Source organism: Homo sapiens, chromosome 10 (genome assembly GCF_000001405.40).
Source record: "Homo sapiens chromosome 10, GRCh38.p14 Primary Assembly".
NCBI classification, from domain to species: Eukaryota; Metazoa; Chordata; class Mammalia; order Primates; family Hominidae; genus Homo; species Homo sapiens.
The window spans coordinates 41872944-41897328 of NC_000010.11; the positions used below are offsets into that span (position 1 = coordinate 41872944).

At 40.7% G+C, this 24385-nt stretch overlaps 16 annotated features.

Annotated features, from left to right (window-relative positions):
- Nucleotides 7-785: an enhancer, noted in NCBI's record as "OCT4-NANOG-H3K27ac-H3K4me1 hESC enhancer chr10:42366481-42367259 (GRCh37/hg19 assembly coordinates)". NCBI's record gives its function as "activates a minimal SCP1, AML or CMV promoter by ChIP-STARR-seq in primed H9 embryonic stem cells {active_cell/tissue: H9 hESC(primed)}" and the evidence as "EXISTENCE:reporter gene assay evidence [ECO:0000049][PMID:30033119]".
- Nucleotides 786-1565: an enhancer, noted in NCBI's record as "OCT4-NANOG-H3K27ac-H3K4me1 hESC enhancer chr10:42365701-42366480 (GRCh37/hg19 assembly coordinates)". NCBI's record gives its function as "activates a minimal SCP1, AML or CMV promoter by ChIP-STARR-seq in naive and primed H9 embryonic stem cells {active_cell/tissue: H9 hESC(naive and primed)}" and the evidence as "EXISTENCE:reporter gene assay evidence [ECO:0000049][PMID:30033119]".
- Nucleotides 1566-2345: an enhancer, noted in NCBI's record as "OCT4-NANOG-H3K27ac-H3K4me1 hESC enhancer chr10:42364921-42365700 (GRCh37/hg19 assembly coordinates)". NCBI's record gives its function as "activates a minimal SCP1, AML or CMV promoter by ChIP-STARR-seq in naive and primed H9 embryonic stem cells {active_cell/tissue: H9 hESC(naive and primed)}" and the evidence as "EXISTENCE:reporter gene assay evidence [ECO:0000049][PMID:30033119]".
- Nucleotides 2023-2317: a silencer, noted in NCBI's record as "tiled region #3881; HepG2 Repressive DNase matched - State 24:Quies". NCBI's record gives its function as "represses a minimal TATA promoter and a strong SV40 promoter by Sharpr-MPRA in HepG2 cells {active_cell/tissue: HepG2}" and the evidence as "EXISTENCE:reporter gene assay evidence [ECO:0000049][PMID:27701403]".
- Nucleotides 2346-3126: an enhancer, noted in NCBI's record as "OCT4-NANOG-H3K27ac-H3K4me1 hESC enhancer chr10:42364140-42364920 (GRCh37/hg19 assembly coordinates)". NCBI's record gives its function as "activates a minimal SCP1, AML or CMV promoter by ChIP-STARR-seq in naive and primed H9 embryonic stem cells {active_cell/tissue: H9 hESC(naive and primed)}" and the evidence as "EXISTENCE:reporter gene assay evidence [ECO:0000049][PMID:30033119]".
- Nucleotides 3127-3905: an enhancer, noted in NCBI's record as "OCT4-NANOG-H3K27ac-H3K4me1 hESC enhancer chr10:42363361-42364139 (GRCh37/hg19 assembly coordinates)". NCBI's record gives its function as "activates a minimal SCP1, AML or CMV promoter by ChIP-STARR-seq in naive and primed H9 embryonic stem cells {active_cell/tissue: H9 hESC(naive and primed)}" and the evidence as "EXISTENCE:reporter gene assay evidence [ECO:0000049][PMID:30033119]".
- Nucleotides 3906-4686: an enhancer, noted in NCBI's record as "OCT4-NANOG-H3K27ac-H3K4me1 hESC enhancer chr10:42362580-42363360 (GRCh37/hg19 assembly coordinates)". NCBI's record gives its function as "activates a minimal SCP1, AML or CMV promoter by ChIP-STARR-seq in naive H9 embryonic stem cells {active_cell/tissue: H9 hESC(naive)}" and the evidence as "EXISTENCE:reporter gene assay evidence [ECO:0000049][PMID:30033119]".
- Nucleotides 4687-5466: an enhancer, noted in NCBI's record as "OCT4-NANOG-H3K27ac hESC enhancer chr10:42361800-42362579 (GRCh37/hg19 assembly coordinates)". NCBI's record gives its function as "activates a minimal SCP1, AML or CMV promoter by ChIP-STARR-seq in naive and primed H9 embryonic stem cells {active_cell/tissue: H9 hESC(naive and primed)}" and the evidence as "EXISTENCE:reporter gene assay evidence [ECO:0000049][PMID:30033119]".
- Nucleotides 5467-6247: an enhancer, noted in NCBI's record as "OCT4-NANOG-H3K27ac-H3K4me1 hESC enhancer chr10:42361019-42361799 (GRCh37/hg19 assembly coordinates)". NCBI's record gives its function as "activates a minimal SCP1, AML or CMV promoter by ChIP-STARR-seq in naive and primed H9 embryonic stem cells {active_cell/tissue: H9 hESC(naive and primed)}" and the evidence as "EXISTENCE:reporter gene assay evidence [ECO:0000049][PMID:30033119]".
- Nucleotides 6248-7027: an enhancer, noted in NCBI's record as "OCT4-NANOG-H3K27ac-H3K4me1 hESC enhancer chr10:42360239-42361018 (GRCh37/hg19 assembly coordinates)". NCBI's record gives its function as "activates a minimal SCP1, AML or CMV promoter by ChIP-STARR-seq in naive and primed H9 embryonic stem cells {active_cell/tissue: H9 hESC(naive and primed)}" and the evidence as "EXISTENCE:reporter gene assay evidence [ECO:0000049][PMID:30033119]".
- Nucleotides 7028-7807: an enhancer, noted in NCBI's record as "OCT4-NANOG-H3K27ac-H3K4me1 hESC enhancer chr10:42359459-42360238 (GRCh37/hg19 assembly coordinates)". NCBI's record gives its function as "activates a minimal SCP1, AML or CMV promoter by ChIP-STARR-seq in naive and primed H9 embryonic stem cells {active_cell/tissue: H9 hESC(naive and primed)}" and the evidence as "EXISTENCE:reporter gene assay evidence [ECO:0000049][PMID:30033119]".
- Nucleotides 7808-8587: an enhancer, noted in NCBI's record as "OCT4-NANOG-H3K27ac-H3K4me1 hESC enhancer chr10:42358679-42359458 (GRCh37/hg19 assembly coordinates)". NCBI's record gives its function as "activates a minimal SCP1, AML or CMV promoter by ChIP-STARR-seq in naive and primed H9 embryonic stem cells {active_cell/tissue: H9 hESC(naive and primed)}" and the evidence as "EXISTENCE:reporter gene assay evidence [ECO:0000049][PMID:30033119]".
- Nucleotides 8588-9367: an enhancer, noted in NCBI's record as "OCT4-NANOG-H3K27ac hESC enhancer chr10:42357899-42358678 (GRCh37/hg19 assembly coordinates)". NCBI's record gives its function as "activates a minimal SCP1, AML or CMV promoter by ChIP-STARR-seq in naive and primed H9 embryonic stem cells {active_cell/tissue: H9 hESC(naive and primed)}" and the evidence as "EXISTENCE:reporter gene assay evidence [ECO:0000049][PMID:30033119]".
- Nucleotides 9368-10147: an enhancer, noted in NCBI's record as "OCT4-NANOG-H3K27ac-H3K4me1 hESC enhancer chr10:42357119-42357898 (GRCh37/hg19 assembly coordinates)". NCBI's record gives its function as "activates a minimal SCP1, AML or CMV promoter by ChIP-STARR-seq in naive and primed H9 embryonic stem cells {active_cell/tissue: H9 hESC(naive and primed)}" and the evidence as "EXISTENCE:reporter gene assay evidence [ECO:0000049][PMID:30033119]".
- Nucleotides 10148-10927: an enhancer, noted in NCBI's record as "OCT4-NANOG-H3K27ac-H3K4me1 hESC enhancer chr10:42356339-42357118 (GRCh37/hg19 assembly coordinates)". NCBI's record gives its function as "activates a minimal SCP1, AML or CMV promoter by ChIP-STARR-seq in naive and primed H9 embryonic stem cells {active_cell/tissue: H9 hESC(naive and primed)}" and the evidence as "EXISTENCE:reporter gene assay evidence [ECO:0000049][PMID:30033119]".
- Nucleotides 10928-11707: an enhancer, noted in NCBI's record as "OCT4-NANOG-H3K27ac hESC enhancer chr10:42355559-42356338 (GRCh37/hg19 assembly coordinates)". NCBI's record gives its function as "activates a minimal SCP1, AML or CMV promoter by ChIP-STARR-seq in naive and primed H9 embryonic stem cells {active_cell/tissue: H9 hESC(naive and primed)}" and the evidence as "EXISTENCE:reporter gene assay evidence [ECO:0000049][PMID:30033119]".

Consider the following 24385-nt stretch of genomic DNA (forward strand, 5'->3'; position numbering starts at 1 on the left):
ATGGAATGGAACGGAATGGAATCAACCCGAGTGGAGTCGAATGGAATGGAAAGTAAATGAATGGAATGGAATGGAATGGAAAGAAATGAAATGAACCCGAGTAGAATAGAATGGAATGGAATGGAATGGAATGGAATCAACCCGAGTGAATGGAATGGAAATGAATGGAATGGAATGGAAAGGAATGGAATGAAATCAACCCGAGTGGAATGCAATGGAATGAAATGGAGTGGAATGGAAAGGAATTGAGTGGAATGGAATGTAATGGAATAAACCCGAGTGGAATGGAATGGAATGGAGTAGAATGGAATGGAATAAATACGAGTGGAATCGAATGGAATGGAATGGAATAAATACGAGTGGAATGGAATGGAATGGAATGGAATAGAATGGAATGGAATCAACTCGAGTGGAAAGGAATGTAATGGAAAGGAATGGAATGGAATGGAATGGAATGGAATGCAATGGAATGCACGGGTATGGAATGGAGTCAATGCGAGTGGAATGGAATGGAATGGAATTGAATGCCATGGAATGGAATGGAATGGAGTGGAATGGAATAAACACCAGTGGAATGGAATGGAATGGAATGGAATGGAATGGAATGGAATGAAAAGGACAGGAATGGAATGGAAAGGAATGGAATGGAATGGCACGGAATGGATAGGAATGGAATGGAATCAACATGACTGGCATGGAATGGAATGGAAAGGAATGGAATGGAATGGAATGGAATGGTATGGAATCAGCCCGAGTGGAATGGAATGGAATGGAATGGAATGGAACGGAACGTAAAGTAATGAACCCGAGTAGAATGGAATGGAATGGAATGGAATGGAATGGAAACAACCCGAGTGGAATGGAATGGAATGGAATGGAATAAACACGAATGGAATGGAATGGAATGGAATGGAATGGAATGGAATGGAATGGAATCAACTCGAGTGGAATGAAATGTAACGTCATGGAATGGAATGGAATGGAATGGAAAGGAATGGAATGGAATGGAATAGAATGGAATCAATTTGAGTGCAATGTAATGGAATAGAATGGAATCAATTCGACTGCAATATAATAGTATAGAATGGAATGGAATGGAATGGAATGGAATCAACCAGAGTGGAATGTTATGGACAGGAATGGAATGGAATGGAATGGACTGGAATGGAATGGAATGGAATGGAATGGAAATGACTAGAATGGAATGGAATGGAATGAAATAAACCCGATTGGAATGGAAAGGAATGCAATGGAATGGAATGGAATCAACTGGAAAGGAATGGAATGGAATGGAATGGAATGGAATGGAATGGAATCAACTCGAGTGGAATGGATTGAAATGGAGTGGAATGGAATGGAACGGCATGGAATGCAATGGAATCAACTAGAATGGAATGGAATGTAATGGATTGAAATGGAATCGAACGGAATCAACCTGAGTGGAATGGAATGGAATGGAATGGAATGGAATGGAATGGAAACTAAAGGAATGGAATGGAAAGCAAACAACCCGAGTGGAATGGAATGCAATGGAATGCAATGGAATGGAATGGAATGGAATGGAATTCAGTGTAATGGAAACAAACCGAGTGGAATATAATTCAATGAAAAGGACTGGGATGTAATGGAATGGATTGGAATCAACCCGATTGCAATGCAACGGAATGGAATGGAAGGGAATGGAATGGAATGGAAAGGAATGGAATGAACTGGAATGCAATGGAATTTAATGGAATGGAATGGAACGGAATGGAATCAACCCGAGTGGAGTGGAATGGAATGGGAAGGAAATGAATGGAATGGAATGGAATGGAATGGAATGGAATGGAACCGAATGAAATGAAATGAACCCGAGTAGAATGGAATGGAATGGAATGGAATGGAATGGAATGGAATGGAATGGAATCAACCCAAGCGGAATGGAATGGAATGGAATGGAATGGAATGGAATGGAATGGAATGGAACGAAAAGGAATGAAGGCGAGTAGAATTGAATGTAACGGAATGGAATGGAATCAACCCGAGTGGAATGGAATGGGATGGAATGGAATAAACACGAATGGAATGGAATGGAATGGAATGGAATGGAATGGAATGGAATGGTACGGAATGGAATGGAATCAACTCGAGTGGAATGAAATGTAACGTCATGGAATGGAATGGAATGGAATGGAATGGAATCAACCCGACTGCAATGGAATGGAATGCAATCATCCCGAGTGGAATGGAATGGAATGGAATGGAATACAATGGAATGGAATGGAATGGAATACAATGGAATGGAATGGAATGGAAGGCATAAGAATCAACTGGAATGGAATGGAAAGAAATGAAATGGAATGGAATGGAATGGAATGGAATCAACCCCAGTGGAAAGGAGTGGAATGGAATGGATTAAAATGGAATGGAAAGGAATCAATCCGGGTGGAATGGAATGGAATGGAATGGAGTGGAATGGAATGGAATGGAATGGAATGGAATGGAATGGAATGGAATCAAACCGAATAGAATGGAATGGAATGGAATGGAAATGAATGGAAAGGAATGGAAAGGAATGGAATGGAATGGAATCAACCCGAATGGACTGGAATGGAATGGAACGGAATGGAATGGAATGGAATGGAATCAACTCAAGTGGAATGGAAATGAATGGAATGGAACGGAAAGGAATGTAATGGAATGGAATGGAATCAACCCACGTGGAATGGAATGGAATGGAATGCAATGGAATCAACCCGAGTGAATGGAATGGAAATGAATGGAATGGAATGGAAAGGAATGGAATGAAATCAACCCGACTGGAATGCAATGGAATGAAATGGAGTGGAATGGAAAGGAATTGAGTGGAATGGAATGTAATGGAATCAACCCGAGTGGAATGGAATGGAATGGAATGGAAAGGAATGGAATAAATACGAGTGGAATGGAATGGAAAGGAATGGAATAGAATGGAATGGAATCAACTGGAGTGGAAAGGAATGTAATGGAAAGGAATGGAATGGAATGGAAAGGAATGTGATGCAATGGAATGCACGGGTATGGAATGGAGTCAATCCGAGTGGAATGGAATGGAATGGAATTGAATGCAATGGAATGGAATGGAATGCAATGGAATGGAGTGCAATGGAATAAACACCAGTGGAATGGAATTGAATGGAATGGAATGGAATGGAATGGAATGGAATGGAATGGAATGGAATGAAAAGGACAGGAATGGAATGGAAAGGAATGGAATGGATTGGCACGGAATGTATAGGAATGGAATGGAAACAACATGACCGGCATGGAATGGAATGGAAAGGAATGGAATGGAATGGAACGGAACGAAAAGTAATGAACCCGATTAAAATGGAATGGAATGGAATGGTATGGAATGGTATCAACCCGAATGGAATGGAATGGAATGGAATGGAATAAACACGAATGGAATGGAATGGAATGGAATGGAATGGAATCAACTCAAGTGGAATGAAATGTAACGTCATGGAATGGAATGGAATGGAATGGAATGGAATGGAATGGAATGGAATAGAATGGAATCAATTCGACTGCAATGTAATGGTATAGAATGGAATGGAATCGAATGGAATGAAATCAACCAGAGTGGAATGTTATGGACAGGAATGGAATGGAATAGAATGGACTGGAATGGAATGGAATGGAATGGAATGGAATTGACTAGAATGGAATGGAATGGAATGAAATCAACCCGATTGGAATGGAAAGGAATGCAATGGAATGGAATGGAATCAACTGGAAAGGAATGAAATGGAATGGAATGGAATGGAATGGAATGGAATGGAATGGAATCAACTGGAAAGGAATGGAATGGAATGGAATGGAATGGAATGGAATGGAATGGAATGGAATGCAATGGAATCAACTCGAGTGGAATGGATTGGAATGGAGTGGAATGGAATGGAACCGCATGGAATGCAACGGAATCAACTAGAATGGAATGGAATGGAATGGATTGAAATAGAATCGAACGGAATCAACCTGAGTGGAATGGAATGGAATGGAATGGATGGAATTGAATGTAATGGAAACTAATGGAATGGAATGGAAATGAAACAACCAGAGTGGAATGGAATGCAATGGAACGCAATGGAATGGAATTCAGTGTAATGGAAACAAACCGAGTGGAATATAATGGAATGAAAAGGACTGGGATGTAATGGAATGGATTGGAAACCACCCGATTAGAATGCAACGGAATGGAATGGAATGGAATGGAATGGAAAGGAATGGAATGAACTGGAATGCAATGGAATTTAATGGAATGGAATGGAACGGAATGGAATCAACCCGAGTGGAGTGGAATGGAATGGAAAGGAAATGAATGCAATGGAATGGAATGGAATAGAACGGAACGAAATGAAATGAACCCGAGTAGAATGGAATGGAATGGAATGGAATCAACCCTAGTGGAATGGAATGGAATGGAATGGAATAGAATGGAATGGAATGGATTGGAAGGAATGGAACGGAGCGAAAAGGAATGAAGCCGAGTGGAATGGAATGGAATGGAATGGAATGGAATGGAATGGAATGCAATGGAATTGAATCAACTAGAGTGGCATGAAATGTAACGTCATGGAACGGAATGGAATGGAATGGAATGGAATGGAATGGAATGGAATGAACCCGACTGGAATGGAATGGAATACAATCATCCCGAGTGGAATGGAATGGAATGGAATGGAATACAAAGCAATGGAATGGAATGGAAGGCATTAGAATCAACTGCAATGGAAGGGAAAGAAACGGAATGGAATGGAATGGAATGGAATGGAATGGAATGGAATGGAATGGAATAAACCCCAGTGGAATTGAGTGGAATGGAATGGATTATAATGGAATGGAAAGGAATCAATCTGGGTGGAATGGAATGGAATGGAATGGAGTGGAATGGAATGGAATGGAATGGAACGGAATGGAATGGAATCAACCCGAATGGAATGGAATGGAATGGAATGTAAAGGAATGGAAAGGAATGGAAAGGAATGGAATGGAATGGAATCAAACTGAATGGACTGGAAAGGAATGGAATGGAATGGAATCAACACAAGTGGAATGGAAATGAATGGAATGGAACGGAAAGGAATGTAATGGAATGGAATGGAATCAACCCAAGTGGAATGGAATGGAATGGAATGCAATGGAGTCAACCCGAGTGAATGGAATGGAAATGAATGGAATGGAATGGAAAGGAATGGAATGGAATCAACCCGAGTGGAATGGATTGGAATGCAGTGGAATGGAATGGAACGGCATGGAATGCAATGGAATCAACTAGAATGGAATCAACTGGAATGGATTGGAATGGAATCGAATGGAATCAAACAGAGTGGAATGGAATGGAATGGAATGGAATGAATGGAATGGAATGGCATGGACAAGATTGGAATGGAATTGAATGGAACGGAATGCTGTGGAATGGAATGGAATCAACTGGAAAGGAATGAAATGGAATGGAATGGAATGGAATGGAATCAACCCGAGTGGAATGCAATGGAATGGAATGGAATAAAATCAACCCGAGTGGAATGCATAGGAATAGAGTGGAATGGAAAGGAACGGCATGGATTGCAATGGAATCAACTAGAATGGAATGGAATGGAATGGAATGGAATGGAATCAGTGGAATGGACTAGAATGGAATGGAATTGAATGAAAAAAACCCGATTGGAATAGAATGGAATGCAATGGAATTGAATGGAAGCAACTGGAAAGGAATCAAATGGAATGGAATGGAATTGAATGGAATGGAATTGAATGGAATGGAATGCAATGGAATGGAATCAACCCGAGTGGAATGCAACAGAATGGAATTGAATGGAATGGAATGGAATCAACCCGAGTGGAGTCGAAAGGAATGGAAAGGAAATGAATGGAATGGAATGGAATGGAATGGAACGGAATGGAATACACCTATTGGAATGGAATGGAATGGAATGGCATGTAATAAACAGGATTGGAATGGAATGGAATGGAATGGAATGCAAAGGAATGGAATAGAATGTAATGGAATCAACTCGAGTGGAAAGGAATGGAATGGAAAGGAATGGAATGGAAAGGAAAGAATGGAATGCAATAGAATGCAATGGTATGGAATGGAGTCAACCCGAGTGGAATGGAATGGAATGGAATGGAATGGAATGAAATGGAAAGGAATGGAATGCAATGGAATGGATTGGAATGGAATAAACAGCAGTGTAATGGAATGGAATGGAAGGGAATGGAATGGACAGGAATGGAATGGAATGGAATGGAATGGAATGGAATGGAATGGAATGGACTAGAATGGAATGGAATGGAATGAAATCAACCAGATTGGAATGGAATGGAATGCAATGGAATGGAATCAACCCGAGTGGAACGGAATGGAATGGAATGGAATGGAATGGAATGGAATGGAATGGAATGGAATGGAATGGACTAGAATGGAATGGAATGGAATGAAATCAACCAGATTGGAATGGAATGGAATGCAATGGAATGGAATCAACCCGAATGGAATGGAATGGAATGGAATGGAATGGAATGGAATGGAATGGAATGGAATGGAATGGACTAGAATGGAATGGAATGGAATGAAATCAACCAGATTGGAATGGAATGGAATGCTATGGAATGGAATCAACCCGAGTGGAACGGAATGGAATGGAATGGAATGGAATGGAATGGAATGGAATAAACCCGAGTGGAATGTAATGGAATGGAATGGAATGGAAAACAAGAGTGGAATGGAATGGAATGGATTGGAATGGAATGCAATGGACTGGAAAGGAATGGAATGGAAAGGAAAGGAATGGAATGCAATGGAATGCAATGGTATGGAATGGAGTAAACCCGAGTGGAATTGAATGCAATGTAATGTAATGTAATGGAATGGAATGGAATGCAATGGAATGGAGTGGAATGGAATATACACCAGTGGAAAGGAATGGAATGCAATGGAATGGAATGGACAGGAATGGAATGGAATGGAAAGGATTGGAATGGAATGGAATGGAATGGAATGGAGTGCAATGAAATCAACCCGATTGGAATGGAATGGAATGCAATGGAATGGAATGGAATCAACTGGATATGAATCAAATGGAAAGGAATGGAATGGAATGGAATGGAATGGAATGGAATTAACCCCAGTGGAATGCAGTGGAACGGAATGGAATGGAATGGAATGAAATCAACCCGAATGGAATGGATTGGAATAGAGTGGAATGGAATGGAACGGCATGGAATGTAATGGAATCAACTAGAATGCAATGGGATGGAATGGAAAGGAATGGAATGAAGTGGAATGGAATGGAATGGAATGGAATTTAATGGAATGGAATGGAATGGAATGGAATGGAATCAACCCGAGTGGAGTGGAATGGAATGGAGTGGATATAAATGGAATGGAATGCAATGGAATGGAATGGAATGGATTGGAATGGAATGGATCTGCCCAATTGGAATGGAATGGAATGGAATGGAATGGAATGGAATGGAGTGGCATGTAATAAACAGGATTGGAATGGAATGGAATGGAATGGAATGGAAAGGAATGGAATAGAATGTAATGGAATCAACTCGAGTGGAAAGGAATGGAATGGAAAGGAATGGAATGGAAAGGAAAGAATGGAATGCAATAGAATGCAATGGTATGGAATGGAGTCAACCCGAGTGGAATAGAATAGAATGGAATGGAATGAAATGGAATGGAATGGAATGCAATGGAATGGAGTGGAATGTAATAAACAGCAATGGAATGGAATGGAATGGAAGGGAATGGAATGGAATGGAATGGATTGGAATGAAATGGACTAGAATGGAATGGAATGGAATGAAATCAACCAGATTGGAATGGAATGGAATACAATGGAATGGAATGCAATCAACTGGAAAGGAATGAAATGAATGGAATGGAATGGAATGGAATGGATTGGAATGGAATGGAATGGAATGGAATGGAATGGAATAAACCCGAGTGGAATGTAAAGGAATGGAATGCAATGGAATGCAATGGAATGGAATCAACCAGAGTGGAATGGAATGGAATGGAATAAACCCGAGTGGAATGTAATGGAATGGAATGGAATGGAATGGAATGGAATGGAATGGAATGGAATGGAATGGAATAAACAAGATTAGAATGGAATGGAATGGATTGGAAAGGAATGGAATGGAAAGGAAAGGAATGGAATGCAATGGAATGCAATGGTATGGAATGGAGTAAACCCGAGTGCAATGGAATGCAATGGAATGGAATGGAATGGAATGGACTGGAATGCAATGGCATGGAGTGGAATGGAATAAACACCAGTGGAAAGTAATGGAATGCAATGGAATGGAATGGAATGGAATGGATTGGAATGGAATGGAATGGAATGGAATGGAATGGAGTGCAATGAAATCAACCCGATTGGAATGGAATGGAATACAATGGAATGGAATGGAATCAACTGGAAAGGAATCAAATGGAACGGAATGGAATGGAATGGAATGGAATGGGATGGAATTACCCCGAGTGGAATGCAGTGGAATGGAATGGAATGGAATGAAATCAACCCGAATGGAATGGATTGGAATAGAGTGGAATGGAATGGAACGGCATGGAATGCAATGGAATCAACTAGAATGGAATGGGATGGAATGGAAAGGATTGGAATGAACTGGAATGGAATGGAATGGAATGAAATTTAATGCAATGGAATGGAATGGAATGGAGTCAACCCGAGTGGAGTGGAATAGAATGGGATGGAAATAAATGGAATGGAATGGAATGGAATGGAACGGAACTGAATGCAATGAACCCGAGTGGAATGGAATGGAATGGAATGGAATGGAATAAACACGAATGGAATGGAATGGAATGGAATGGAATGGAATGCAATGGAATGGAATAGAATGAACCCGAGTGGAATGGAATGGAATGGAAAGGCACGGAATGGAATGGAAGAGAATGCAATGGAATCAACCTGAGTGGAATGGAATGGAATGGAATCAACCCGAGTGTAATTGAATGGAGTGGAATGCAATGGAATGGAATGGAGTGGAAGGCATTAGAATCAACTGCAATGGAATGGAATGGAATGGAATGGAATGGAATGGAATGGCATGGAATGCAATCAACCCCAGTGGAATGGAATGCATTACAATGGAATGGAAAGGAAACAATCCGGGTGGAATGGAATGGATTATAATGGAATGGAATGGAATCAATCCCGGTGGAATGGAATGGAATGGAATGGAATGGAAAGGAATGGAATGGAATGGAATGGAATCATCCCGAATGGAACGGAAGGGAATGGAGTGGAAAAGAATCGAAAAGAATGGAATGCAAAGGAATCAACACGAATGGACAGGAATGGAAAGTCATGGAATGGAATGGAATGGAATGGAATGGAATGGCATGGAAAGGAATGGAATGGAATGGAATGGAATGCTACGGAATCAACCTGAGTGGAATGGAAATAAATGGACTGGAACGGTATGGAATGGAATGGATTAGAATGGAATCAACCACAGTGGAATGGAATGGAATGGAATGGAATCAACCTGAGTGGAATGTAAATAAATGGACTGGAACGGTATGGAATGGAATGGAATAGAATGGAATCAACCACAGTGGAATGGAATGGAATGGAATGGAATGAACCAAAGTGGAATGGAATTGAACGGAATGCAAAGGAATCAAACCGAGTGGAATGGAATGGAATCAACCAAAGTGTAATGGAATAGAATGGATGCAACGGAATCAAACCAGTGGAATGGAATGGAAAGGAATGGAATGGAATGGCATGGAATGGAAAGGAATGGAATTGAATCAACATGACTGGCATGGAATGGAATGGAAAGGAACGGAATGGAATGGAATGGAATGGTATGGAATTAGCCCGAATGGAAAGGAATGGAATGGAATGGAATGGAATGAAATGGAATGGAATGGAATGGAATGAAATGGAATGGAATGGAATGGAACGGAATCAGCCCGAGAGGAATGGAATGGAATGGAATCAACGAGAGTGGAACGGAATAGAATGGAATGGATTGGAATGGAATGGAAGGCAGTGGAAACAGCAGGAACGGAATTTAATGAAATGGAATGGAATGGAATGGAACGGAATAAACCTGAGTGGAATGGAACGGAATGGAATGCAATGGAATGGAATGGAATGGAATCAACCCCAGTGGAATGGAATGGAATGGAATGGAATGGAATGGAATGGAATGGAATGGAATGGAACGGAATGGAATGCAATGGAATCAACTGGAATGGAATGGAATGGAATGGAATGGAATGGAATCAACGAGAGTGGAACGGAATGGAATGGAATGGATTGGAATGGAATGGAAGGCAGTGGAAACAGCAGGAACGGAATTTAATGAAATGGAATGGAATGGAATGGAACGGAATCAACTTGAGTGGAATGGAATGGAATGGAATGCAATGGAATGGAATGGAATGGAATCAACCCTAGTGGAATGGAATGGAATGGAATGGAATGGAATGGAATGGAACGGAATGGAATGCAATGGAATCAACTGGAATGGAATGGAATGGAATGGAATGGAATGGAACGGAATGGAATCAACCTGAGTGGAATGGAATGGAATGGAATGGAATGGAATGGAACGGAGTGGAATTCAACGGAATGGAAACAACCCGAGTGAAATGGCATGGAATGGATCGGACTTGAATGTAATGGAAAGGAGTGGAATCAACCTCATTAGAAAGCAATGGAACGGAATGGAATGGAATGGAATGGAATGGAACGGAATGGAATGGAATGGAATGGAATGGAATGGAAGGGAATGGAATGCAATGGAATGGAAAGGAATGGAATGGAATGGAATCAACTGGAATGGAATGGAATGGAATGGAAGCAACAAGAAGTGGCATGGAATGGAATGGATTGGAATGGAATCGAATCAACTGGAATGCTATGGAATGAAATCAAGCCGAGTGGAATGGAATGGAATGGAATGGAATGGAATGGAATGGAACCAACTGGAATGGAATGAAATGGAATAGAATGGAGTGGAATGGAATGGAATGGAATGGAATGGAATGGAATCAACCCGAGTGGAATGGAATGGAATGGAATGGAATGGAAGGGAATGGAATCAACCCGAGTGGAGTGGAATAAAATGGAATGGAATGGAATGGACTCAACCCGAGTGGAACGGAATGTAATGGGATGGAATGGAATTGAATGTAATGGAATGGAATGGAATTAACCCAAGTGGAATGAATGGAAAGGAATGGAATGGAATCGAATGGAATGGAATGGAATGGAGCGAAATGGAATTGAATGGAATCAACAAGATTGGAATGGAATGAATGGAATGGAATGGAATAGAAAGTAATGGAACGGAATGGAATGGAATCAACCCGAATGGAAGGGAATGGAATTGAATGGAATGGAATGGATTGGAATCCACCCATGTTAAATGGAATGGAATGGAATGGAATGGAATGGAATGGAATGGAATGGAGTAGAATGTAAAGGAATGGAATGGAAAGGAATGGAATGGAATGGAATGGAATGGAATGGAATGCAATTTAATAAAATGGAATGGAATCAACCAGAGTGGAATGGACTGGAATGTATTGGAATGGAAAGGAATGGAATGGAATCAACCAGAGTGAAATGGAATGGAATGGGATGGAATGGAATGGAATGGAAAGGACGGGAATCAACCCGAGTGGAATGGAATGGAATGGAATGGATTCAACACGAGTGGAATGGAATGGAATGGAATGGAATGGAATGCAATGGAATGGAATGGAATGGAATCAATCCAAGCGGAATGGACTGGAATGGAATGGAATGCAATGGAATGGAATGGAATGGAATGGAATCAGCTGCAGTGGAATGGAATGGAATGGGATGGAATGGAATGGACAGGAATAGAATGGAATGGAATATAACGGAGTGGAATCAACACAAGTGGAATGGAATGGAATCAAATTGAATGGAATGGAAGGAAAGGAATGCAATGGAATGGAATCAACCTCAGTGGAACAGAAAGGAATGTAATGAAATGGAATGGAATAGAATGGAATGGAATGCAATGGAATGGAATGGAATGGAGTGGAATGGAATGGAACTGCATGGAATGATATGGAATCAAATAGAATGGAATGGAATGGGATGGATTGGAATGGAATCGAACGGAATCAACCTGAGTGGAATGGAATGGAATGGAATGGAATGGAATGGAATGGAATGAATGGAAAGGAATGGAATGGAAACAAATGGAATGGAATGGAAAGGAAACAACCCGAGTGGAACGGAATGTAATGGAATGCAATGGAATGGAATTGAATTCAATGTAATGGAAACAAACCGAGTTGAATGTAATGTAATGGAAAGTACTGGAATGGAATGGAATGGATTGGAATCAACCCGATTGCAATGCAATGGAATGGAATGGAATGGAATGGAAAGGAAGAGAATGGAATCAATTCGAGTGCAATGTAATGGTATAGAATGAAATGGAATGGAATGGAATGGAATCAACCAGAGTGCAATGGAATGGAAAGAAATTGAAATGAATGGAATGCAATGGAATGGAATGGAATGGAGTGGAATGGAATAGAACTGCATGGAATGATATGGAATCAAATAGAATGGAATGGAATGGGATGGATTGGAATGGAATCGAACGGAATCAACCTGAGTGGAATGGAATGGAATGGAATGGAATGGAATGGAATGAATGGAAAGGAATGGAATGGAAACTAATGGAATGGAATGGAAAGGAAACAACCCGAGTGGAACGGAATGGAATGGAATGGAAAGGAAACAACCCGAGTGGAACGGAATGGAATGGAATGCAATGGAATGGAATTGAATTCAATGTAGTGGAAACAAACCGAGTGGAATGTAATGTAATGGAAAGGACTGGAATGGAATGGAATGGATTGGAATCAACCCGATTGCAATGCAATGGAATGGAATGGAATGGATTGGAATGGAACGGAATGGAATGGAATGGAACGGATTGGAATGGAATGGAACGGAATGGAATGGAATGGAAGGGAATGGAATGGAATGGAAAGGAATGGAATGAACTGGAATGGAATGGAATGCAATTTAATGGAATGGAATGGAATGGAATCAACCCGAGTGGAGTGGAATGGAATGGAATGGAAATGAATGGAATGGAATGGAAACTAATGGAATGGAATGCAAACAACCCGAGTGGAATGGAATGCAATGGAATGGAATGGAATGGAATGGAATGGAATGGAATTCAACAGAATGGAAACACCCCGAGTGAAATGTCATGGAATGGAAAGGACTTGAATGTAATGGAATGGATTGGAGTCAACCCGATTAGAAAGCAATGGAATGGAATGGAATGGAATGGAATGGAAGGGAATGGAATGGAATGTAATGGAATGGAATGGAAAGGAATGGAATGGAATGGAAGGGATTGGAATGGAATGGAATGGATTAGAATGGAATGGAATGGAATGAAATCAACCCGATTGGAATGGAATGGAATGCAATGTAATGGAATGTAATCAACTGGAAAGGATTGAAATGGAATGGAATGGAATGGAACGGAATCAACCCGAGTGGAATGCAATGGAATGGAATGGAATGGAATGAAATGAAATCAACCCGGGTGGAATGGATTGGAATGGATTGGAATGGAATGGAATGGCATGGAATGCAATGGAATCAACTGGAATGGTATGGAATGGAATGGAATGGAATGGAATCAAACGGAATCAACCTGAGTGGAATGGAAAGGAATGGAATGGAATGAATGGAATGGAAACTAATGGAATGGAATGGAAAGGAACAACCCGAGTGGAATAGAAAGCAATGGAATGCAATGGAATGGAATGGAATGGAATGGGATTTGATATAATGGAAAAAAAACCGACTGGAATGCAATGGAATGGAATGGACTGCAATGTAATGGAATGGATCGGAATCAACCCGATTCCAATGCAACGGAATTGAATGGAATGGAAACGAATGGAAAGAACTGGAATGGAGCGGAATGGAATGGAAATGAATGGAATGGAATGGAATGGAATGGAATGGAATGGAATGGAATGGAATGGAACGGAATGCAATGCAATGGAACAGAAAGGAATGAACCCGAGTGGAATGGAATGGAATGGAATAGAATGGAATGGAAAGGAACGGAACAGAATGGAATGGAATGGAATGGAATGAACACGAGTGGAATGGAAAGGAATGGAATGGATTGGAATATAATGGAATGGAATCAACCCGAGTGGAATAGAATGGAATGGAATGGAATGGAATGGAATGGAATGGGACGGAATGGAATGGAATGGCATGGAATAGAATGGAACGGAACGGAAAGAAACGGAATGGAATGGAATGGAATGGTATCAACCTGAATGAAATGGAATGAAATGGAATGGAATCAACCAAAGTGGAATGCAACGGAATGGAATGGAATGGAATGGAATGGAATGGAATGGAATGGAGTGAAATCAACCCGAGTGGAATGTATAGGAATAGACAGGAATTGAATGGAACGGCATGGAATGCAATGGAATCAACTAGAATGGAATGTAATATAATGGAATGGAATGGAATGGAATAGAATCAACCCGAGTGAAATGGAATGGAAGGGAATGGAATGGAAAGGAATGGAAAGCAATGGATTGGAATCAAACAAATGGAATGGAATGGAATGGAATGGAATGGAATGGAATGGAATAGAATGGAATCAATTCGAGTGCAATGTAATGGTATAGAATGGAATGGAATGGAATGGAATGGAATCAACCAGAGTACAATGCAATGGAAAGAAATTGAAATGAATCGAATGGAATGGAATGGAATGGAATGGAACGGCATGGAATGGAATGGAATGGAGTGGAATCAACCCGAGTGGAATGGAATGGAATGGAATCTAACGGCATGGAATGGAATGGAATGGACTGAAATCAACCCGAGTGGAATGGAATGGAATGGAATGGACTGGAATGCAATGGAATGGAAAGGAATCAACCCGAGTAGAATGAAATGGAATGGAATGGAGTGGAAAGGAATACAATGGAATGGAATAGAATGGAATGGAATGGAACGGAATGGAATGGAAAGGAATGGAATCAACATGAGTGGAATGGAATGGAATGGATTGGAATGGAATAAACACGAGTGGAATGGAATGGAATGGAATGGAATGGAATGGAATGGAATCGAGTGGAATGGAATCAACTCGAGTGGAAAAGAAAGGGATGGAAAGCAATGGAATGGAAAGGAAAGTAATGGAATGCACTGGAATGAAATGGTATGGAATTGAGTCAACCAGAGTGGAGTGGAAAAGAATGAAATGGAATGGAATGGAATGCAATGGAATGGAGTGGAATGGAATAAACACCAGTGGAATGGAATGGAATGGAATGGAATGGAATGGAATGGAATGGAATGGAATGGAATGGCATGGAAAGGAATGGAATGGACAGGATTGAAATGGAATGGAATGGAACGGAATGCTATGGAATGGAATGGAATCAACTGGAAAGGAATGAAGTGGAATGGAATGGAATGGAATGGAATGGAATTGAATGGAATGGAATGGAATCAACACGAGTGGAATGCAATGCAATGGAATGGAATGGAATGTAATAAAATCAACCCGAGTGGAATGCATAGGAATAGAGTGGAATGGAAAGGACAGGCATGGAATGCAATGGAATCAACTAGAATGGAATGGAATGGAATGGAGAGGAATGGAATGGAATGGAATGGAATGGAATGGAATGGAATGGAATGGAGTGGAATGGACTAGAATGGAATGGAATTGAATGAAATCAACCCGATTGGAATGGAATGGAATGCAATGGAATGGAATGGAATCACCTGGAAATGAATCAAATGGAATGGAATGGAATTGAATGGAATGGAATGGAATGGAATGGAATGGAATGGAATGGAATGGAATGGAATCAACCCGAGTGGAATGCAGTGGAATGGAATTGAATGGAATGGAATGGAATCAACACGAGTGGAATGGATTGGAAGGGAGTGGAATGGAATGGAACGGCATGGAATGCAATAGAATCAACTAAAATGGAATGGAATGGAATGGATTGGAATGGAATCGAATGGAATCATCCTGAGTGGAATGTAATGTAATGTAATGTAATGTAATGGAATGGAATGGAATGGAATGGAATGCAATGCAATAGAATGGAATCAATTTGAGTGCAATGTAATGGTATAGAATGGAATGGAATGGAATCAACCAGAGTGGAATGGAATGGAAAGGAATGGAATGGAATGGAATGGAATGGAATGGAATGGAATGGAATGGAATGTTATGTAACGGCATGGAATGGAATGGAATGGAGTGGAATCAACTCGAGTGGAATGGATTGGAATGGACTGTAACGGCATGCAATGGAATGGAATGGAATGGAATGGAATAAACCCGAGTGGAATGGAATGGAATGCAATGGACTGGAATGGAAAGGAATGGAATCAACAAGAATGGAATGCAATGGAATGGAATGGAATGGACTGGAATGGAAAGGAATGGAATCAACACGAATGGAATGGAATGGAATGGAATGGAATGGAATGGAATGGAATGGAATAGAATCAACACGAGTGCAATGGAATGGAATGGAATGGAATGGAATGGAATGGAATAAAAACGAATGGAATGGAAGGGAATGGAATGCAATGGAAAGGAATGGAATGACCTGGAGTGGAATGGAATGGAATGGAATTTAATGGAATGGAATGGAATGGAATCAACCTGAGTGGAGTGGAATGGAATGGAATGGAAATGCATGGAATGGAATCGAATGTAATGGAACGGAAGGGAATGCAATGAACCCGAGTGAAATGGAATGGAATGGAATGGTATGGAATCATCCCGAGTGGAATGGAATGGAATAGAATGGAATAAACACGAGTGGAATGGAATGGAATGGAATGGAAAGAAATGGAATGGAAAGGAATGGACTAGAATGGAATGGGAATGAAAGGAATTTAATGCAATGGTATAGAATGGAGTCAACCCGAGTGGAATGGAATGGAATGGAATGGAATGAAATGGAATGGAATGGAATGCAATGGAATGGAGTGGAATGGAATAAACACCAGTGGACTGGAACGGAACGGAATGGAATGGACAGGAATGGAATGGAATGGAAAGGACTAGAATGGCATGGAATGGAATGAAATCAACCCGATTGGAATGGAATGGAATGCAATGGAATGGAATGGAATAGAATCAACTCGAGTGGAAAGGAATGGAATGGAAAGGAATGGAATGGAAAGGAAAGGAATGGAATGCAATGGTATGCAATGGAGTCAACCCGAGTGGAATGGAATGGAATGGAATGGAATGAAATGGAATGGAATGGAATGCAATGGAATGGAGTGGAATGGAATAAACACCAGTGGAATGGAATGCAATAGAATGGAGTGGAATGGAAAGAAATGGAATGGAATGGATATGGAATGAAATGGAATGGAATGGAATGGAATGGACAGGAAAGGAATGGAATGGAATGGAATGGAATGGAATGGAATGGACTAGAATGGAATGGAATGGAATTAAATCAACCCTATTAGAATGGAATGGAATGCAATGGAATGGAATGGAATCAACTGGAAAGGAGCAAAACGGAATGGAATGGAATGGAATGGAATGGAATGGAATGGAATGGAATGGAATCCACCCGAGTCGAATGCAATGGAATGGAATGGAATAAACCCGGGTGGAATGGATTGGATTGGAGTAGAACGGAATGGAACGGCATGCAGTGCAATGGAATCAACTATAATGGAATGGAATGGAATCGAACGGAATCAACCTGAGTGGAATGGAATGGAATGGAATGGAATGAATGGAATGGAATGGAACGGATACTAATGGAATGGAATGGAATGCAATGGAATGCAATGGAATGGAATAGAATGGAATGGAATGGAATAGAATGGAATTCAATGTAATGGAAACAAACCGAGTGGAATGTAATGGAATGGAAAGGACTGGAAAGTAATGGAATGGGTTGGTATCAACCCGATTCCAATGCAATGCAATGGAATGGAATGGAATGGAATGGAAGGGAATGGAATGAACAGGAATGGAATGGAATGGAATGGATGTTCATGGAATGGAATGGAATGGAATGGAATGGAATGGAATCAACCCGAGTGGAGAGGAATGGAATGGAATGGAAATGAATGGAATGGAATGGAATGGAATGGAATGGAATGGATGTTCATGGAATGGAATGGAATGGAATGGAATGGAATGGAATGGAATGGAATCAACCCGAGTGGAGAGGAATGGAATGGAATGGAAATGAATGGAATGGAATGGAATGGAATGGAATGGAATGGATGTTCATGGAATGGAATGGAATGGAATGGAATGGAATCAACATGAGTGGAGTGGAATGGAATGGAATGGAAATGAATGGAATGGAATGGAATGGAATGGAATGGCATGGAATGGAACGGAACGGAACGGAAAGAACCCGAGTGGAATGGAATGGAATGGAATGGAATGGAATGGAATGGAACGGAATGGAATGTACACAATTGGAATGGAATGGAATGGAATAGAATGGAATGGAGTGGCATGTAATAAACACGATTGGAATGGAATGGAATGGAATGGAATGGAATGGAATGGAAAGGAATGGAATAGAATGTAATGGAATCAACTCGAGTGGAAAGGAATGGAATGGAAAGGAATGAAATGGAAAGGAAAGAATGGAATGCAATAGAATGCAATAGTATGGAATGGAGTCAACCCGAGTGGAATGGAATGGAATGGAATGGAATGGAATGGAATGGAATGGAATGGAATGAAATGGAATGGCATGGAATGCAATGGAATGGAGTGGAATGGAATAAACAGCAGTGGCATAGAATGGAATGGAAGGGAATGGAATGGACAGGAATGGAATGGAATGGAATGGAATGGAATGGAATGGAATGGAATGGAATGGAATGGAATGCACTAGAATGGAACGGAATGGAATGAAATCAACCAGATTGGAATGGAATGGAATACAATGGAATGGAATGGAATCAACTGGAAAGGAATGAAATGAATGGAATGGAATGGAATGGAATGGAATGGATTGGAATGGAATAGAATGGAATGGAATCAACCCGAGTAGAATGCAATGGAATGCAATGGAATGGAATCAACCCGAGTGGAATGGAATGGAATCGAATGGAATAAACACGAATGGAATGGAATGGAATGGAATGGAATGGAATGGAATGGAATCAACTCGAGTGGAATGAAATGTAACGTCATGGAATGGAATGGAATGGAATGGAATGGAATAGAATGGAATCAATTCGAGTGCAATGTAATGGAATAGAATGGAATCAATTAAACTGCAATGTAGTGGTATAGAATGGAATGGAATGGAATGGAATGGAATCAACCAGAGTGGAATGGAATGGAAAGGAATGGAATGGAATGGAAAGGAATGGAATGGAATGAAATGGAATGGAATGGAATGGAATGGAATGGAATGTAACGGCATGGAATGCAATGGAATGGAATGGAATGGAATAAACCCAAGTGGAATGGAATGGAATGGACTGTAACGGCATGGAATGGAATGGAATGGACTGGAAACAAACCGAGTGGAATGGAATGGAATGGAAAGGAATGGAATGGAATCATCCCGAGTGGAATGGAGTGGAATGGAATGGAATGCAATCAACCCGAGTGGAATGGAATGGAATGGATTGTAATGGAATGAACCCGAGTGCAACGGAAAGGAATGGAATGGAAAGGAATGGAATGGAATGAAATGAAGACGAGTGGAATGGAATGGAATAGAATGGAATGGAATGGACTGGAATGGAATGGAATGGAATGGAATGGAATGGAATGGAAGAGAATGGAATGGAATCAACCCGAGTGGAAAGGAATGCAATGGAAAGAAATAGAATGGAATGGAAAGGAATGGAATGCAATGGAATGCAATGGTATGGAATGGAGTCAACCCGAGTGGAATGGAATGGAATGGAATCGAATGCAATGGAATGGAATGGAATGCTATGGAATGGAGTGGAAGGGAATAAACACCAGTGGAATGGAATGCAATGGAATGGAATGGAATGGACTAGAATGGAATGGAATGGAATGAAATCAACCCGATTGGAATGGAATCGAATGCAATGGAATGGATTGGAATCACCTGGATAAGAATGAAATGGAATGGAATGGAATGGAATGGAATGGAATGCAATTGAAAGGAATGGAATGAAATCAACCCGAGTGGCATGGATTGGAAAACAGTGGAATGGAATGGAAAGGCATGGAATGCAATGAAATCAACTAGAATGGAATGGAATGGAATGGAATGGAATGGAATGGACAGGAATGGAATGGAATGGAATGGAGTGGAATGGACTAGAATGGAATGGAATGTAATGAAATCAACCGGATTGGAATGGAATGGAAGGCAATGGAATGGAATGGAGTCAACAGGAAAGGAATCAAATGGAACGGAATGGAATGGAATGCAATGGAATAGAATGGAATGAAATCAACTCGAGGGGAAAGGAATGGAATGGCAAGGAATCGAATGGAAAGGAAAGGAATGGAATCCAAAGGAATGCAATGGTATGGAATGGAGTCAACCCGAGTGGAATGGAATGGAATGGAATGGAATGGAATGGAATGCAATGGATTGGAGTGGAATGGAATAAACACTAGTGGAATGGACAGGAATGGAATGGCATGGACAGGAATGGAATGGAATGGAATGGAATGAAATGGAATAGAATGGAATGGACTAGAATGGAATGGAATGGAATGAAATCAACCAGATTGGAATGGAATGGAATGCAATGGAAGGTAATGGAATCAACAGGAAAGGAATGAAGTGGTGTGGAATGGAATGTAATGGAATGGAGTGGAATGGAATGGAATGGAATGGAATGGAATGGAATGGAATGGAATTAACCCGAGTAGAATTCTATGGAATGGAATGAAATGGAATGGAATGAAATCAACCCTAATGGAATGGATTGTAATAAAATGGAATGGAATGGAATGGCATGGAATGCAATGGAATCAACTAGAATGGAATGGAATGGAATGAAATGGACAGGAATGGAATGGAATCGAATGGAATGGAATGGACTGGAATGGACTAGAATGGAATGGAATGGAATGAAACAAACCCGATTGGAATGGAATGGAATGCAATGGAATGGAATGGAATCAACTTGAAAGGAATGAAATGGAATGGAATGGAATGGAATGGAATGGAATCAACTCGAGTGGAATGGATTGAAATGGAGTGGAATGGAATGGAATGGCATGGAATGCAATGGAATCAACTAGAATGGAATGGTATGGAATGGATTGGAATGGAATCGAATGGAATCAACCAGAGTGGAATGGAATGGAATGGAATGGAATGAATGGAATGGAAACTAAAGGAATGGAATGGAAAGGAAACAACCCGAGTGGAATGGAATGCAATGGAATGCAATGGAATGGAATGGAATGGAATGGAATTCCGTGTAATGGAAACAAACCGAGTGGAATATAATGGAATGAAAAGGACTGGGATGTAATGGAATGGATTGGAATCAACCCGATTACAACGCATCGGAATGGAATGGAAGGGAATGGAATTCAATGGAAAAGAATGGAATGAACTGGAATGCAATGGAATTTAATGGAATGGAATGGCATGGAATGGAATCAACCCGAGGGGAGTCAAATGGAATGGAAAGGAAATGAATGGAACGGAATGGAATGGAACGAAATGGAATGAACCCGAGTAGAATGGAATGGAATGGAATGGAATGGAATGGAATGGAATCAACCCAAGTGGAATGGAATGGAATGGAATGGAAAAAACATGAATGGAATGGAATGGAATGGAATGGAGTGGAATGGAATGGGATGGAATGGAATCAATTCGAGTGCAATGTAATGGTATAGAATGGAATGGAATGGAATGGAATGGAATGGAATCAAACAGAGTGGAATGGAAAGAAAGGAATGGAATGGAATGGATTGGAATGGAATGGAATGGAATGGAACGGCATAGAATGCAATGGAATGGAGTGGAATCAACCCGAGTGGAATGGAATGGAATGGACTGTAAGGGCATGCAATGGAAAGGAATGGCGTGGAATCAAACCGAGTGGAATGGAATGGAAAGGAATGGAATGGAAATGAATGGAATGGAATCAACACGAGTGGAATGGACTGGAATGGAATGGAATGGAATCCACCCGAGTGGAATAGAATGGAATGGAATGGAATAGAATCAACCCGAGTGCAATGGAATGCAATGGAATGAAATGGAATGGAATCGAATGAAATGAACACGTATGGAATGGAATGGAATGGAATGGAATGGAATGGAATGGAATGGAATGGAATGGAATGGAAGAGAATGGAATGGAATCAACACGAGTTGAAAGGAATGGAATGGAAAGGAATAGAATGGAATGGAAAGGAATGGAATGCAATGGAATGCAACGGTATGGAATGGAGTCAACCCGAGTGGATGGAATGGCATGGAATCGAATGGAATGGAATGGAATGGAATGCAATGGAATGGAGTGGAATGGAATAAACACCAGTGGAATGGAATGGAATGGAATGGAATGGACTAGAATGGAATGGAATGGAATGAAATCAACCCGATTGGAATGGAATGGAATGCAATTGAATGGAATGGAATCACCTGGAAAGGAATGAAATGGAATGGAATGGAATGGAATGGAATGAATGGAATGGAATGGAATGGAATGGAATGGAATGAATGGAATGGAATGGAATGGAATGGAATGGAATGGAATGGAATGAATGGAATGGAACGGAATGGTAACTAATGGAATGTAATGGAAAGGAAACAACCCGAGTGGAATGGAATGCAATGGAATGCAATGGAACGGAAGGGAATGGAAAGGAATTCAATGTAATGCAAAAAAATCGAGGGAATGGAATGGAATGGAAAGGACTGGAATGTAATGGAATGGATTGGAGTCAACCCGATTCCAACGCAATGGAATGGAATCGAATGGAAAGGAATGGAATGAACTGGAATAGAATTGAAAGTAATGGAATGAAGTGGAATGGAATGGAATGGAATTTAATGGAATGGAATGGAATGGAATGGAAATGAATGGAATGGAAAGGAATGGAATGGAACGGAAAGGAATGGAATGAACCCGAGTGGAATGGAATGCAACGGAACGGAATGGAATGGAATGGAATGGAATCTACCCGAGTAGAATGGAATGGAATGGAATGGAATGGAATGGAATGGAATGGAATGGAATGGAATAAACACGAGTGGAATGGAATGGAATGGAATGGAATCTAATGGAATGGAATGGAATAGAATGTAATGGAATCAACTCGAGTGGAAAGGAATGGAATGGAAAGGAATGGAATGGAAAGGAAAGGAATGGAATGCAATAGAATGCCATGGTATGGAATGGAGTCAACCCGAGTGGATTGGAATGGAACGGAATGGAATGGAATGAAATGGAATGGAATGGAATGCAACGGAATGGAATGGAATGCAACGGAATGCAGTGGAATGGAATAAACACCAATGGAATGGAATGGAATGGAATGGAATGGAATGGAATGGACAGGAATGGAATGGAATGGAATGGAATGGAATGGAATGGAATGGACTACAATGGAATGAAATGGAATGAAATCAACCCGATTGGAATGCAATGGAATGCAATTGAATGGAATGGAATCAATTGGAAAGGAATGAAATGAATGGAATGGAATGGAATGGAATGGAATGGAATGGAATGGAAAGGAATCAACCCGGGTAGAATGCAATGGAATGGAATGGAATGGAATGGAATGGAATCAACCCGAGTTGATTGGAAGGGAATGGAATGGAAGGGAATGGAATGGAATGCAACGGAATGGAATCAACTCGAGTGGAATGGAATGGAATGGAATGGAATGGAATGGAATGGAATGGAATGGAATAAACACGAGTGGAATGGAATGGAATGGAATGGAATGGAATGGAATAGAATGGAATGGAATCAACTCGAGTGGAAAGGAATGGATTGGAAAGGAATGGAAAGGAAAGGAAAGGAATGGAATGCCATGGAATGCAATAGTATGGAATGGAGTCAACCCGAGAGGAATGGAATCGAATGGAATGGAATGAAAGGGAATGGAATGGAATGCAATGGAATGGAGTGGAATGAAATAAACACCAGTGGAATGGAATATAATGGACAGGAATGTAATGTAATGTAATGGAATGGAATGGAATGGAATGGAGTGCAATGAAATCAACCCTATTGGAATGGAATGGAATACAATGGAATGGAATGGAATGGAATTAACCCTAGTGGAATGTAATGTAATTGAATGGAAT